The sequence below is a fragment of the Homo sapiens genome, chromosome 11 (genome assembly GCF_000001405.40).
Source record: "Homo sapiens chromosome 11, GRCh38.p14 Primary Assembly".
Lineage (NCBI taxonomy): Eukaryota > Metazoa > Chordata > Mammalia > Primates > Hominidae > Homo > Homo sapiens.
The window spans coordinates 6,430,339-6,445,125 of record NC_000011.10 but is presented as its reverse complement, the minus strand read 5'-3'; the positions used below and the strand labels follow the sequence as shown (position 1 = coordinate 6,445,125).

At 48.0% G+C, this 14,787-nt stretch overlaps 1 protein-coding gene across 1 annotated transcript, besides 3 other annotated features; it reads left to right on the top strand.

The window, feature by feature from the left end:
* Positions 1,702-1,771: an enhancer, noted in NCBI's record as "active region_4341". NCBI's record gives its function as "activates an Ori minimal core promoter by ATAC-STARR-seq in GM12878 lymphoblastoid cells {active_cell/tissue: GM12878}" and the evidence as "EXISTENCE:reporter gene assay evidence [ECO:0000049][PMID:35858748]".
* On the top strand, positions 4,139-14,077 carry HPX (hemopexin). The gene is made up of 10 exons (NM_000613.3): positions 4,139-4,245; positions 4,396-4,454; positions 4,588-4,659; positions 4,840-4,961; positions 6,617-6,770; positions 7,474-7,686; positions 7,949-8,080; positions 13,109-13,239; positions 13,323-13,485; positions 13,656-14,077. Exons 1-10 carry the CDS (start codon positions 4,163-4,165, stop codon positions 13,913-13,915), a joined length of 1,389 nt encoding a protein of 462 aa, NP_000604.1. The 5' UTR covers positions 4,139-4,162; the 3' UTR covers positions 13,916-14,077.
* Positions 9,077-9,276: a silencer, noted in NCBI's record as "silent region_3102". NCBI's record gives its function as "represses an Ori minimal core promoter by ATAC-STARR-seq in GM12878 lymphoblastoid cells {active_cell/tissue: GM12878}" and the evidence as "EXISTENCE:reporter gene assay evidence [ECO:0000049][PMID:35858748]".
* Positions 10,742-10,791: an enhancer, noted in NCBI's record as "active region_4340". NCBI's record gives its function as "activates an Ori minimal core promoter by ATAC-STARR-seq in GM12878 lymphoblastoid cells {active_cell/tissue: GM12878}" and the evidence as "EXISTENCE:reporter gene assay evidence [ECO:0000049][PMID:35858748]".
* Positions 14,078-14,787: the final 710 nt, after the last annotated feature.

Sequence of the window (14,787 nt, the reverse complement as noted above, 5' to 3'; positions counted from 1 at the left end):
CCAAAGATAATCAGTACTTAAAAGTAATCACTTCCTAATTATTTTACTACATTTTACTATCCCCTGTGCTCTTGTGATTATTTATATCTATCATATCTGTATGGTAGGAATATTGTATGCAGTGTGTTACTGTACATCCCTTCCCAACTCTACATTTGGTGATGTCTTGTCGGTAGCTTAAAGTTGGCCATGGTAGGAGTATTTATATCACAAAAATCTGCAAATGTTACAAATCAGTGCTTTTTCCCCCTAGAGAGCAGTTGTTAAATATTTGCCAGCGAACCCCTTGATAAGAACACACTATCCTTGTAGGAACACACCCCTAGGAGTCAGGCACCCAGGGTTTAAATCATGGCTCTGCCACTTGCTAGCAATGTGATTTGGCTAAGATACCTAATATTGGCTTCCTCATTCATAAAACGGGACTCATAGTGCTACCTTTGTCTGTTTGTGCTGCTATAACAAAATGCCCATGACTGATGATTTATAATGAACAAAAATGTATTTCTCACAGTTCTGGAGGCTGGGAAGTCCAAGATTAAGGTGCCCAGCAGGTTTGGTGTGTGGTGAGGTCCTGGTCTCTGCTTCTATGATGGCATTTTGAACGCTGCATCCTCTAGAGGAGACAAATGCTGTTCATCACGTGGCAGAAAAGCAGAGGAGAGAGAATCCACTTCTGAAAGCCCTTTTTATAGCAGCATTAATCCATTCATCGGGCAGAGCTCTCATGACCTAAACACCTCTCATGAGGCCGCACCTCCAAACACTGGCACATTGGGAATTAAGCTTCCAACACATCAATTCGGAGGGGACAGAAACATTCAAACCATAGCAAGTGCTATATACATGCTATATATATATATATATAGCACTAAGGCCCATTATAGACTGAGCAAGAGGAGGGGTCAGCTGGGATCAGCAAGCTCTTTGGCTGCCTGGAGCTTTATCCCTAAGCCTCCTACCCCTGAGGAAAGGAGACATTCAGTTCCTGCTCCCTGGAGTATACAGCCACAGACTTCAGGCCCAGCACACCTAGCACTCAGTGGGCCCAGGAGAAATGGCTAAGGTCAGAGAACTCATATCAACAGCAGAGCAGGCTGGACATAGACATAGCCATTCCAAGGGACAGTGGGTCAGTGTCCAGCTTACATCTGGCTCTTGGCAATGCAGGAGGAAGCTCTGTCATTTGCAGACATTTGCAGGTTCGTGTTCAGACCCCTTCTGGGAGAAGTAAAAAAGCTGCTGGTTAGGAGGATAGAGAAGACTACCCAGGAAAAGAGATGGTTGAATTTCTCTGGGCTCGAGTTCCCAGAGAAGCAAGAGATTGAGGTCCCCAAATCCACTCTGGGCAGCAAGGTTTGCAGAAGAAGGGAAAGAAGCATAGAAGGGTGTGTACCACTAAGGATGCACAGCCAGGGCTGAGAGGAGTGTGGGACAAAGGCTGTGGAGAGCTAGTTTCAGAGAGGAAAAACTCCTGGGCTCTGGCCTCTAGTTGAAGGGCGGGAGTGCACTGATTCCTGCGGCCTGCAGGGGGTGCTCAGGCCCAAGTACCGACAAGCTTCTTTCCTCAGCCCCAGTAGGAAGCCTGGGAAGGACCCAGGACCCACAGAAGGGGCCTCCTGTAGTGAGGGGAAGAGAAGCAAGGCTGCTGAGTCTTGACTACCCTGAGAAGTCTTGGCTTGTACCCTGTGACCAACACCAGGGTGGCCAACATATCCACAGCCCTGGGTTCCCAAATGTGTACAATGTTCTACTTTCAACTCCTGCCCAAAACTTGAACTTCAACCTGGACTGCCTGCAGTGCAGATGACTCTGCTGGCCTAGTCCCTGGGTGGAGCAGGAGGATCCAGTAATGGTTTCTAAGCCATTCTCGGGTACACAGGTGAATTAGGAAGCAACAGGGAAAAGGGACCATAAAGTAGTATTCTGGGATAGATGGATCCGGGGTGCTGTGAGGGGGACCACACCAGGTGTGTGGGGAAGGGGTCAAGCTGAAAAATGATCATCCAGTATATGTGCTGTATGCCCTCAGACAGCCCTGTTAGGCCAGAAGGAGACTGCACCCTTGGACTGGCAAGTCAGTGCAAGGCCCTGCTAATAGGACTATTGAAGACTCTCACTATGGGTTTTCTGTGGGGTGTTTGTTTCTTGGGGTGAAAGCTTCCCTCTCCCCAGGCAGGCCCAGCAAAATCTGTAGGATTCAGACAGGGTTCTGACAGCTGAAGACAAGTTGTTGAGGAAATTCCTGATGGAGGATCATGGGGTGCTCAGGAGGGAGAATATAAGGTTTCAGAGGCTGAGAGGGAAAGAAAAGGTGAGGGGGAGTCTTAGAATAGTGGCTCCCATTGCCCAACACCCAGAAAGAAGACATGCCCTGCAATGGGGAGAAGGTGAGTATGAGACATTGGCTGTAGCAGCGATGGCATTGCCCAGGCTGCCAAGGACTCAGAGAGTCCAGCCTTGCCCACTGACCTATGAGGAGGGAATGATGTTCACAGCACATTTTCATTCGTAAGTCAGGAGAGGACATTGAGCCTGATGGCAGAGGCCTGGTGACATGTTGTTCCAGAGGTTCCGGAATGTGTGTTTTCCTGTTGGAAGGAAACTTCGCAGAGTAGAAAAGGGATCTGAGACTTTTGGTAAGATTATATATGGGACTGTCAGGGGTCTGGAGCCATCTGTGAGGGATCAGGGCCCTTTCAGCCTTGGCTAGGGAGCAGGGGTCCTGGAACTTCATCCTGGCCCATAGCTGAGTCTGCCCATAATTCTTTTCTGACTCACTAGGCAAATCTCACACAGAAATGGGGCAGCTTTGGGAGTGGGCCCAGGAAGTACTGAGGATAGCAGGTGAGATCCCAGGAAGAGATGGATGTGGGGCCGAGACACTGGAGAGAGAAACAGGACTGTCAGATAAAGGGCGTCTGTGACTCCTAGATCTCATTATGCCTACTACCATAACCTACCCCCAATTCCTAATATTCTCCTACCCTAGAGGGGGGGAAATTGTCAGAAATTTGGCTGCAACACTAGCAACACTACTCAGTACTTGAAATGCATTTTTGCATTTTTTTCATTCAACAAATATTTCTGGAACAACTCTTATATGCCAGGCACTATTTTAGGAGTCAGGGATATATAATGGTAAACAAGACAGGCAAAACAAAGCAAAGCAACAACAACCATCACCAGATAAGTAGACAGATGAAAGAATTTCAAGTTTTAGTAAGTAAAATAAAACAAGCAAGGGTCTGAAATGGCTAGATAAGGTGGTCAAGAAAGGCTTCATTGAGAAGGTAGCATTTAAGCAGGAGTCAGCTAGAAATATTGTGAAATTCCAGTTACAGTTCTATTTGTTCTGGGTTGGTTAAATAAAGCTTTTTCCCCCAAGGTGGAAACTACCAAGAAAGACTAATTACTAGTAGTGGTGGTGCTCTCTGGAAGAGAGACACCTCCTGTTTCTGCCTCATTACTGTCAACCCTTCACTTCCAGGCACTTTTTGCAAAGCCCTTTGCCAGTCAGGGAAGGCGAGAGGCTGGGCATGGGGCTTGGACATTTGACAACAGTGAGACATTATTGTCCCCAGACTCACTAGCCCAAGGGTAAAGCTGAAGAGGCTTGGGCATGCCCCAGAAAGGCCCCTGATGAAGCTTGGAAAAAGCTGTTCTCTGAGTATTTCTAAGTAAGTTTATCTGTGTGTGTGGTTACTAAAAGTAGTAAGTATTGCTGTCTCTAGCTGCCTTAGAGCAGGGCTTGACACAGTACACAGCAATATTAGTTCCCTCCTTTTCTCACCTCCCCCATTGTGGAGATAAACTCAATCACAAAAGGTGATCCTCAGTCTACTCACTTCCCTGACTTATGGATGCCTGGACCCATTGCCAGTGTGAGAGTCACAGCTGGACGTCAGCAGTGTAGCCCAGTTACTGCTTGAAAATTGCTGAAGGGGGTTGGGGGGCAGCTGCCGGGAAAAAGGAGTCTTGGATTCAGATTTCTGTCCAGACCCTGACCTTATTTGCAGTGATGTAATCAGCCAATATTGGCTTAGTCCTGGGAGACAGCACATTCCCAGTAGAGTTGGAGGTGGGGGTGGTGCTGCTGCCAACTCTATATAGGGAGTTCAACTGGTCACCCAGAGCTGTCCTGTGGCCTCTGCAGCTCAGCATGGCTAGGGTACTGGGAGCACCCGTTGCACTGGGGTTGTGGAGCCTATGCTGGTCTCTGGCCATTGCCACCCCTCTTCCTCCGTGAGTAAAGCTGGGACTAGAAGCGAAGGATTGAGTTCTGGGCTAGGGTAAGGTAGGGCCAGTTTTTAGGCCTCGGTCAAATTTGGGGTCAGGGGCTATGGGAAAGGGATCGGTCCCAATGGATCAAGATATCTATTTTGTTCTCCCTAGGACTAGTGCCCATGGGAATGTTGCTGAAGGCGAGACCAAGCCAGACCCAGACGTGACTGGTGAGGCCCTGACTCCCTAAGTCTGTCTTATCTGTCTGGTTGTGTCTCTGCATTTTATCACCTTCTGGTTTTTTTTTTTTTTTTTTTTTTTTTTTTTTTTTTTTACTTTGCCATCTCCCTACCTCCACCCCAGAACGCTGCTCAGATGGCTGGAGCTTTGATGCTACCACCCTGGATGACAATGGAACCATGCTGTTTTTTAAAGGTAGGAGGGACTGAGGTTAGGGCGTTTAGGACCTTAGACTTACTCTCCTTCACAAAGGGTGTCCCTGTCTGTGGGAGGTCTTAGGAATTATCTGATGGTATCACTGACAGCTTCTCTCAAGCTATCTCAGTAGGTCAAAGGTTTCTCACTGGGCCCCTCAGTGAGTGTGGGTTTTTTCAGGGGAGTTTGTGTGGAAGAGTCACAAATGGGACCGGGAGTTAATCTCAGAGAGATGGAAGAATTTCCCCAGCCCTGTGGATGCTGCATTCCGTCAAGGTCACAACAGTGTCTTTCTGATCAAGGTACTGCTGGGCCAAAATCAGGGCCAGGCTGGAAAGGGCTGGAATCGACACTGGGGACCCTTCCCCCAAATGGCCTTGGCATGGAGCCCATAGCAATAGGTAGCAGATTTCTTTCCCATGTGCCCTCCTTTCCTGTAAAAGCTTGGGCTAAGGGAGTGTGCATGCGTGTGGGCCTGGCAGGTGCACCATCCAGTGGCTGTTCTTCAGTCCTAGTCTTAGTTCTACACCGCTCTGCTGTACCTCACACTGCTGGCCATCCTTTTTTTCTCTGGCAATTGCTTCCCTTGCCTTCCATGACCCTGTATCAAGTCCTCTTCATAGGGCAAGGCAAGTTGTTCCCAACACAATGGCACCTGGCTAGAAGAGCATGTGGAGCATGAAATCCAGTCTGCTGTGCTCACCAAGTCCCATGTGACCCAGGCTGTGTCTGCTCAGAGGAAGGGGTGCCTTTTCCTACCTTGCCAAAGGTGCTGTGTGGTTGGGGAAGTCCTGACTGTCGGCTTTGTTTTCCCTCCTGCCTCTTTTCTCTCTCTTCTCAAATGTCTCATTCTATCTCAACCAGTTCCCTAATGTTCCTTGGGGATCCATCCTAGCCTTTCCATATACCTTCCCTCAGTGATCTCAACCATCACCTTGGCTCTGAGGAATATCTATGCTGTGGACACTGGATCTAGATCTACTTTCTGAGCTCCAGACATCTCTTTCCAATTGTATGTTCTACAGGCACCTAAAATTCAGCATCCCCCAAACTAAGCTTTGCATCTTCTTTACAAACCAACCTTTCCTCCTGTGTTTCCTGTTTCAGTAAATGACCCCAAAATGTGCCTGATTACTACAAACCAAGTGCACACAGGGTCTCATGATCTGGGCCTTGGTTATCTTCTCAGGTTTATCTCCTCCCCTGCCACATTCACTGTGTGCCAGCCATACGAATCTACATGAGGTTGGAGCACACTGCTTCCTCATGTTTGGGCTCTGCATGCTGCTCCCTCTGCTGGTAACACCCTTTCCTCACTTGTCAACCTGGAAAATTCCTGCTGATTTTTCAGCTCTTGGGCCCAATGCTTCCTCTTTGGTGTGAAACCTTCCACAACTTCTCTAGGCAGACTTAGGCACTCTGTCTATATTCTCAGTGCACTCTTTACACTACACCTTGGTAGTTGCATGGCTAGGATTGCAGGAGTCCTTTCTGCTTTTGTACAGTGAACTTCCTGAAGTGAAAGACAGAGTCTTGTTATCCTCAGTGCCTCTCACAATGCCTGGCATATAGTAGTTATTCAGTGACTGTTTCTTGGATGAATGAATGAATGAATAAATAAATGAAGAAATGAATGAAGAAATAACGTATGGGTGATTGCAGGATGAACAGTTGTGGATATGTTTGTCAACACTGATAGTGTTGCAGATAAATGTGCCACAGGAGTGTCTGGGTACAGAGCTAGAGGCATGTGTGTTATAGTAATAGTGACTGGATTTGCACAAACTGAGAGTGTGTAATGTGCAAAAGGACAGCACATTGTTGTCCACAGATGGACTGAGAATGTGTAGGGCCACAGGAGGATATCGTATAAGCACAGTAGATAAAAAATGTGTGTAAATGCAGAGTGGCAGTATCTGGGGATGCACAGTCAAAAAGAGAGTACTTTTGAATGCAGGGGGACAAAGTCTGGGTATACCCTCCTGAAAAGAAGGAGAAAGGATACCCAAAGTTGCTCCAAGATGAATTTCCTGGAATCCCATCCCCACTGGATGCAGCTGTGGAATGTCACCGTGGAGAATGTCAAGCTGAAGGCGTCCTCTTCTTCCAAGGTCAGTCCAGGCTGGAATCCAAGAACCTGGAGTAGTGGTGGGTTGGTAGTGATGCCAGTAGTGATGGTGATAGTGGTAGTGATGGTGGTGGTGGAGCCACTATGTGGCTTTTTAAGGAAGGGAAATAGAGAAGCCACGTATGGTCTAGAGGTCACGTGAGGGAAGGAGAGGAAGTCATTCTGGTGAAGGCAACTGTGTGTAATTCTGTGTGAATAGTCCCTCATTGTTCCCCATGACCCTTAGGACAAATCTACCCTCTTTAGTCTTACATACAAGTCTCTCCATGGCCAAATCCCTATTGGCCCTTCAGCTTTGACTTTTATTATACTTTTACCTTAACACTAAGCTCCAGAAACCCTATGCTATTCTCTGTACACTCAGTTTGCTCCATGCTTTGGAATCTTTCCTCTCTCTGGGGTTCCATCTCTCCTTGTGTGCCTTTTAATTCCTACTTCAGATTTCACTTTAAGTATCATCTTCCCTGGGAAGTTTTCCCAGACTCTCCCCACTGCCTTTGCTGAGCTGATCCTGTGTGTTTTGCTGCTGAATTTTGGTGTATGATCACCCTCCTTTAGCCATCTCTCTGATGGCTGTGAGCTCCATGTGGTCAGTACCATTATCTGGCCCATCCTGGGACCCAGAGAAAGCACAAAGGAGGGCGTAACCCGGTCTCACCAAATGCCTGTTGATTGATTGGACAAAGGTGACCGCGAGTGGTTCTGGGACTTGGCTACGGGAACCATGAAGGAGCGTTCCTGGCCAGCTGTTGGGAACTGCTCCTCTGCCCTGAGATGGCTGGGCCGCTACTACTGCTTCCAGGGTAACCAATTCCTGCGCTTCGACCCTGTCAGGGGAGAGGTGCCTCCCAGGTACCCGCGGGATGTCCGAGACTACTTCATGCCCTGCCCTGGCAGAGGTGAGAAAGCCCTAGCACTTGAGACCTGTCAGAATTCATCCACTTTCCCTGAGCTTGTGGATCTCACGTGTCCTAGCTCTCACTTTAACTCCGTGTTGCGACACCTTGGCCCTTAATCTAGCCCCATTTCCATTCTGGATTTTCCCATTGCCCTCATATGGGGAAACCCACACCCCACTAACCCCAGCCATCTCTTCCACCTTGGACCTCACTCTGACCTCTGGCCTCCTTCTGTGTTCTCCTCACCCATTTCTCTCTCCAGGCCATGGACACAGGAATGGGACTGGCCATGGGAACAGTACCCACCATGGCCCTGAGTATATGCGCTGTAGCCCACATCTAGTCTTGTCTGCACTGACGTCTGACAACCATGGTGCCACCTATGCCTTCAGTGGTGAGAGATGCCCCCAACTCCCCCAATGTGCTCTCACATCTCTTTTACTTGTATCTCCCATCCTTGACACATTTCTCCATTGTCATCACTGTGTCACTTATTTTGTCCCCTCTGTCCCCATCCTTCTGCATGCCCTTCTGCATCCCTCATCTCTGAGGCATATTTCTCAATCTTGTCTGTCACGGCCCAAGCCCCTAACTTCATCTACCTGTCTACCATCTACTCCCATGGCTGTGCCCCCTGTGGACCTCTCTGGGCCCCTATGACTCCTTGTGTTCTCCTTGCTCAATGCCCTGCTGAGCCCTCTGGCTCTCCCTTGCTCCCTGGACCTCTATGTGTCTCTGTACCTCCTTGCCTCCCTTTGTTCTTGCATATCTTTCTGAGTCCTCTGGCTCCCCCTGATTTATCCTCAGAACTCCATCTTGTTTCAGGTTCCTGGTTCCTATGTCCAGACCCCTGGGCATAGCACTGCCTGGGGATGAGATGTTCTCATTGCTGAGAACCAGCTGAGAAGTGTTGGGTACTTTAGACCTTTAGAGGCTGGCTTCACTAGCCTCTGGAGGTTTCTCCTCTGAGTAGCCAATGGAGATACCCCTCCCTTGACCCGTGGCATCAATTGGTAAAAGCCATCTAATAATACCTAGGGCTGTTCTGAGTTCAGTCAGGCAGTAAATAGTCATGCTGCACAGTTGAGAATATCCCCAAGAGGAGTGAGCAACCACATCACATCCAACCTGAGATATATGTATAATTAGGACAGTGGTAAGAATATAAAATCGTGAAAATATTTTTTTCACACAAAATTTTTTTGGCTCCTGACCCTTGGACAAATTTGACCAGTTATGACTATCAAGTTCTGTTGAAAAATACATCACCACATGGAGAGCAAATCTCCACAGCAGGATTGCACACTATAATAAGAACATACAGCTAAGATGAAACACACACCTGTAGTGAAAATACAACATTAAACTGAGAACATACGCCATAGTAAGAACACATAAGTATCAAGAGAACACACAGCCATGGTGGGAGCCCATTGGGAGGACACACAGACAAAGTGAAATGCAGAAAGAGAGAGAGAGTGAGTGAGAGATTGTGAAAACAGGGCCACAGGAAACACACAGAAATAGAGAGAGACACCAAGCCATCTAGAGATCACAGAACTTCAAGGCCATGTGGCCATAATGAGAATGCTACTGAACTCCTAAATGAAAAATGTCATGTATGTTCCATAGCTGTTGAGAGAGCCCACAGCATGGAGAGAACACCTTATATTAAAAATACCCAGGCCGGGCGTGGTGAGTCACGCCTGTAATCCTAGCACTTTGGGAGGCTGAGGCAGGTGGATTGCTTGAGCGGCTTGAGCCTAGGAGTTTGAGACCAGCCTGGGCAACATGGCAAAACCTCATCTCTACAAAAAATATAAAAATTAGTCGGGTGTGGTAGTGCGTTCCTATAGTCCCATCTACTTCAGAGGCTGAGCCCGGAAGGTCGAGGCTTCAGTGAGCCGTGATCGTGCTACTGCACTCCAGCCTGGGTGACAGAGTGAGACCATGTCTCAAAAAAAACAAAAACAAAAAACAAAACAAAACAAACAAACAAACAAAAAACCCATATATATATATATATACCTAGCTGAGGTGAGAATGCACTATTTTGGTAAAATCACCAACATGACCCAGCTACAGCATGGGGCAGTCCCTCCCCTCTCACTGGTAAATTTTTCTTTCTCTGACTCACAGTTTTGTTGTTGTTGTTGCTGTTGTTTGAGATGGAGTCTCACTCTGTCACCCAGGCTGGAGTGCAATGGCGCAATCTTGGTTCACTGCAACCTCTGCCTCCTGGGTTCAAGCGATCCTCCTGCCTCAGCCTCCCGTATAGCTGGGACTACAGGCGCATACCACCATGCCTGGCTAATTTTTGTATTTTTTTTTGGGTTACAATGTACTATTTATTAATTTAATTTTTGTATTTTTAGTAGAGATAGGGTTTCACCATGTTGGCCAGGCTGGTCTCGAACTCCTGACCTCAGGTGATCCGCCTGCCTCGGCCTCCCAAAGTGCTAGGATTACAGGCATGAGCAACCACGCCTGGCCCCTCATAGGTTTTTATCTATTCTCTTTGCTTCTTCACAACTTTGGCTTGCACGTGGACCATCATGTTCTCTCCACTTTCTCACTACTTCATGATCTTTCAGTCTCAGTTCCAACTGATACCTCCCTCAGTTGCTCTTTTTTCCTAGTAAGATTTCCAGAGAGGGAATCTGAATGGCCCAGTCCATATTTTCAGACCACACCACATTAAAGTGGTTGATTGCCAGCCTATGTATTGGCTACATTAATGGGTTGGGAACTCATCATTTACTTCATTGCACAAAGCAGCATAGCTCTGGTTCTCAAAATAGGGCCCCTGGGCCAGGTGTGGTGGCTCATGCCTATAATCCCAACACTGTGGGAGGCCGAGGGGGGCAGATCACTTGAGTCCAGGAGTTCTAGACCAGCCTGGGCAACATGGTGAAATCTCATCTCTACTAAAAATACAAAAAATTAGCCAGGTGTGGTGGCATGCACCAGTAGTCCCAGCTGTTCAGGAGGCTGAGGTGGGAGGATTGCTCGAGTGTGGGAGGCAGAGATTGCAGTGAACCGTGACTGTGCCTCTGCAATCCAGCCTGGGTGACAGATTGAGACCCTGTCTCAAAAAACAAATAAATAAAATAAAATAAATATGGTTCCTGAGCAGGGTAATTTCAGTGGGAAACCTCCCAGGGGAGGTGGATATGTCAGTCACCGCTGTATACTCAGTACACGGCTAATAAGAGAACTTGTGGTAGCAGCAAGAACACTAGGTATTTACTCAACAAATATTTGTTGAGCATCTGATAAGAAGTGGGCATTGTCCTAGGCACTGAGATACAGTAGTCAACATGGCAGACAAGATGCCTGCCCTGACAGGCTCTGCTAAAGTGAGAGAGGACAATAAGAAAGAGAAAGGAAGAAAGAGAATAATTTTAGGTAATATTAAGGGTTGTAAAGAAAATAAGACAGGATAGTGGGATAGAGGTGAGGAGAATGAGGGCTGTCTTCTGAAGAAATGATTTTTGAGCTGAGACTTCAGTGATGAGAAGGAATTAACCACACGATGTGCTGGAGGAAAAGCATTTTAGGGAGGGTGAGCAGCACATACTTCAAGGAATCAAGAAGGAAGCCTGGTGAGGCTGGAACACAGAGAAAGAGCAGGTGGGTGACTTGAAAGGGCAGGGACGGCAGTGGCCAGGTTACCTAGACCTGGTAAGGGTTTTCAACCATAAAAGGGAGTCATCAGAAAGTCTTGAGCAGGGCTGTGATATATTCTAACTCATTTTTTATAAAAGATCACTCTGACTTTTTGCAGAACATAAGTTATAAAAGTACAAGCATGTAAGCAAGGAATCCAGCTAGCAATCCGTGCAGTTGTCCAAATTAGAGGTGATGACCGCTTGGACTAGGATGATAGCAGCAGAGGTGGTGAGGAATCACCATGATATATTTTGGAGGTAGAGCTGACAGCATTAACTAATAGCTAAGATAGGCCGGGTGTGGTGGCTTACGCCTGTAATCCTAGCACTTTGGGAGGCCAAGGCGAGTGGATCACCTGAGGTCAGGAGTTCGAGACCAGCTTGACCAACATGGTGAAACCTCGTCTCTACTAAAAATACAAAATTAGCTGGGAATGGTGGCACATGCCTGTAATCTCAGCCTACTTGGGAGGCTGAGGCAGGAGAATCGCTTGAACCTGGGAGGTGAATGTTGCAGTGAGCCGAGATTGCACCATTGCACTCCAGCCTGGGGAACAAGAGTGAAACTCCGTCTCTAAATAAATGAATGAATGAATGATATCAGTCAGAGTAGGGAAGGGAAAAGAGGCTTCAAGAATGACTCAGCTTTCGTGGACTCAGCAACTGAGTGGCTGGTGGTTTTGTTTTCTAAAATTGGGAAAGACTAGGGAGTGTGTGTGTTGGTGGGGGGCAGAAATCAGTTTGGGCATATTAGGTTTTGGGTGCCTATTGGCACCCCATAAGCATGTCAGGTAGGCAGCTGATTTGGAGCCTAAACCTCAAAGGAGAGGTCAGTCAGAGCTGACGAGAACAGATTGGAAGTCATCAGCATATAGATGGCATTTAAAGCCCCTGGACTAGGTGAGATTACCAAGGAAGTGAAGGTAGAGAGAGAAGAGAAGAGGCCCAAAGTAGGGGATTCCAATATTTAGATATCAGGTTGAAGAAAAGAGTAGTCAAAAAAGATAAGAGGAATACTGGGAGAGTCAGGTGTCACAGAAGCCAAGTTCCAAAAAAAGACATTTAAAGGAGAAGGAAGTAGTGAGCAGTCCAGTGCTCCTGAGAGGTAGGGTCAGATGAGAACAGAGAATTGACCATGAGATTTCGCAAATTGGAGAATACTAGCAACCTGGATAAGAACAATTTCAATGGTTGAGGGAAACAGAAGTGTAATTGAAGAGGATTGAGGAAAAAAGACAAATGGGAGCCTAGATAATTCCTTAATAAGTTGTTGTGAAAAGAGGAGAAGAAAAACGGGGTGCTAGCCCAGCTACTCCCTCACTCTTCCACCACCTCATAGGGAGAGACTGGAGAACACAGCCAGAGTGAGAACATTCAGTAGAAGTGGTGCTTCCTTTTTAAGTTCTGGACACTGTATTTCATTATCTATAACCGCATCTCTGTACATGGACACCTGAAATCCTTAGGGAGTGCCCGCCAACCCCATGATGTTGGCCTTACCTGGAAACTTAGCCACTGTTTTCCACACTTGCCTTTCTTTCAGGCACCTGCTGATTCCAGTTTCAGCCAGGGCACAGTGCCCAACATTGCTGACCAAGTCTTGCTCTATTTCTCCTTCTCACCTGGCCTCTTCCATCTTGGCCTCTGGATGCATTCTCTCCCTCTCATGACTCATTTCTGCATTCATCACTAGCCTCTTCTCTGCCTGGGCTTCTGCCAGCGGCCCTAGAGCAACCTATGGTATTCCACAGGGACCCACTACTGGCGTCTGGACACCAGCCGGGATGGCTGGCATAGCTGGCCCATTGCTCATCAGTGGCCCCAGGGTCCTTCAGCAGTGGATGCTGCCTTTTCCTGGGAAGAAAAACTCTATCTGGTCCAGGTGTGTATTGGGGGAGAGGCTTGAGGTAGAGACTGGGACAAGCATATCCAACTCTGTATTTATTACCATCCTTTGTCCTCCAGGGCACCCAGGTATATGTCTTCCTGACAAAGGGAGGCTATACCCTAGTAAGCGGTTATCCGAAGCGGCTGGAGAAGGAAGTCGGGACCCCTCATGGGATTATCCTGGACTCTGTGGATGCGGCCTTTATCTGCCCTGGGTCTTCTCGGCTCCATATCATGGCAGGTGAGGGGCTTCTGGGTGCTTAGAGGGCAGCTTGTTCTGCTACCTGTCTGTGGCATAGATCCCCACCAGGGCATGAGAAGGCCTAGGTCAGGATCCCCAGGGCATGAGAAGGCCTAGGTCAGGATCCCCATGACATGGAAGCCATGCTATGTTTGGTGCCTTCTCCCCAGGACGGCGGCTGTGGTGGCTGGACCTGAAGTCAGGAGCCCAAGCCACGTGGACAGAGCTTCCTTGGCCCCATGAGAAGGTAGACGGAGCCTTGTGTATGGAAAAGTCCCTTGGCCCTAACTCATGTTCCGCCAATGGTCCCGGCTTGTACCTCATCCATGGTCCCAATTTGTACTGCTACAGTGATGTGGAGAAACTGAATGCAGCCAAGGCCCTTCCGCAACCCCAGAATGTGACCAGTCTCCTGGGCTGCACTCACTGAGGGGCCTTCTGACATGAGTCTGGCCTGGCCCCACCTCCTAGTTCCTCATAATAAAGACAGATTGCTTCTTCGCTTCTCACTGAGGGGCCTTCTGACATGAGTCTGGCCTGGCCCCACCTCCCCAGTTTCTCATAATAAAGACAGATTGCTTCTTCACTTGAATCAAGGGACCTTGGTCGTGAAACAATCTTCTTTCTTTGAGTTGAAAAGTTAGCACTTCTCCTTTGAGGGTGTCGAGCTCAAACAAGGCTGTGAGAAACAAGGGAGGGGAGCACTAAGGGGCAAACCTATCTCTGCGCAGATGATTCTTAGGTCCAGATCATAAACTAGCTCTTTGCAGACTATCTACACATAGTGGGGGGAAAGAGAACCAGAGTCGGAAGAGGAACAGCTGAGTTTATACAGCAAGTAAGAGGTGGAGCTAGGACTCTGATTCAACTTGCTGGTAGATGGCCACAACCCAGCCGCAAGGCATCAGAAACAACAGGGCCTGGGGCAACTATGCATGTGCAAAGAGGATTGGCTCAGAGTTGTGGGGTAGGAGGTCCAATCTGGGGGACCTCAAATTATGGTTCTGGGTGATTCAAGTAACACCACTCATGGCTTGTGTTGCCATGAGTTAGGCATGACAAGTGGAATGAAGTTGAAGTGGGGAAACAGAAATACACCAGCTGTGTGTCAGAGGCAAGCTGGAGAGAGAGAAGAAAGAATGAATGGCACCATGGAGCACATTTGCAGAACACAGTCCCTGGGAGTCTTGCTGGAGCCTCAGGAGCTTTGCTGGCACAGAGGATCTGGCCTACCCAATTAGCCTCCTGGGTATCTGCACCATCTAGACCAGCAAATGTCACTGGCAAGGAGGTTGCAGTGCT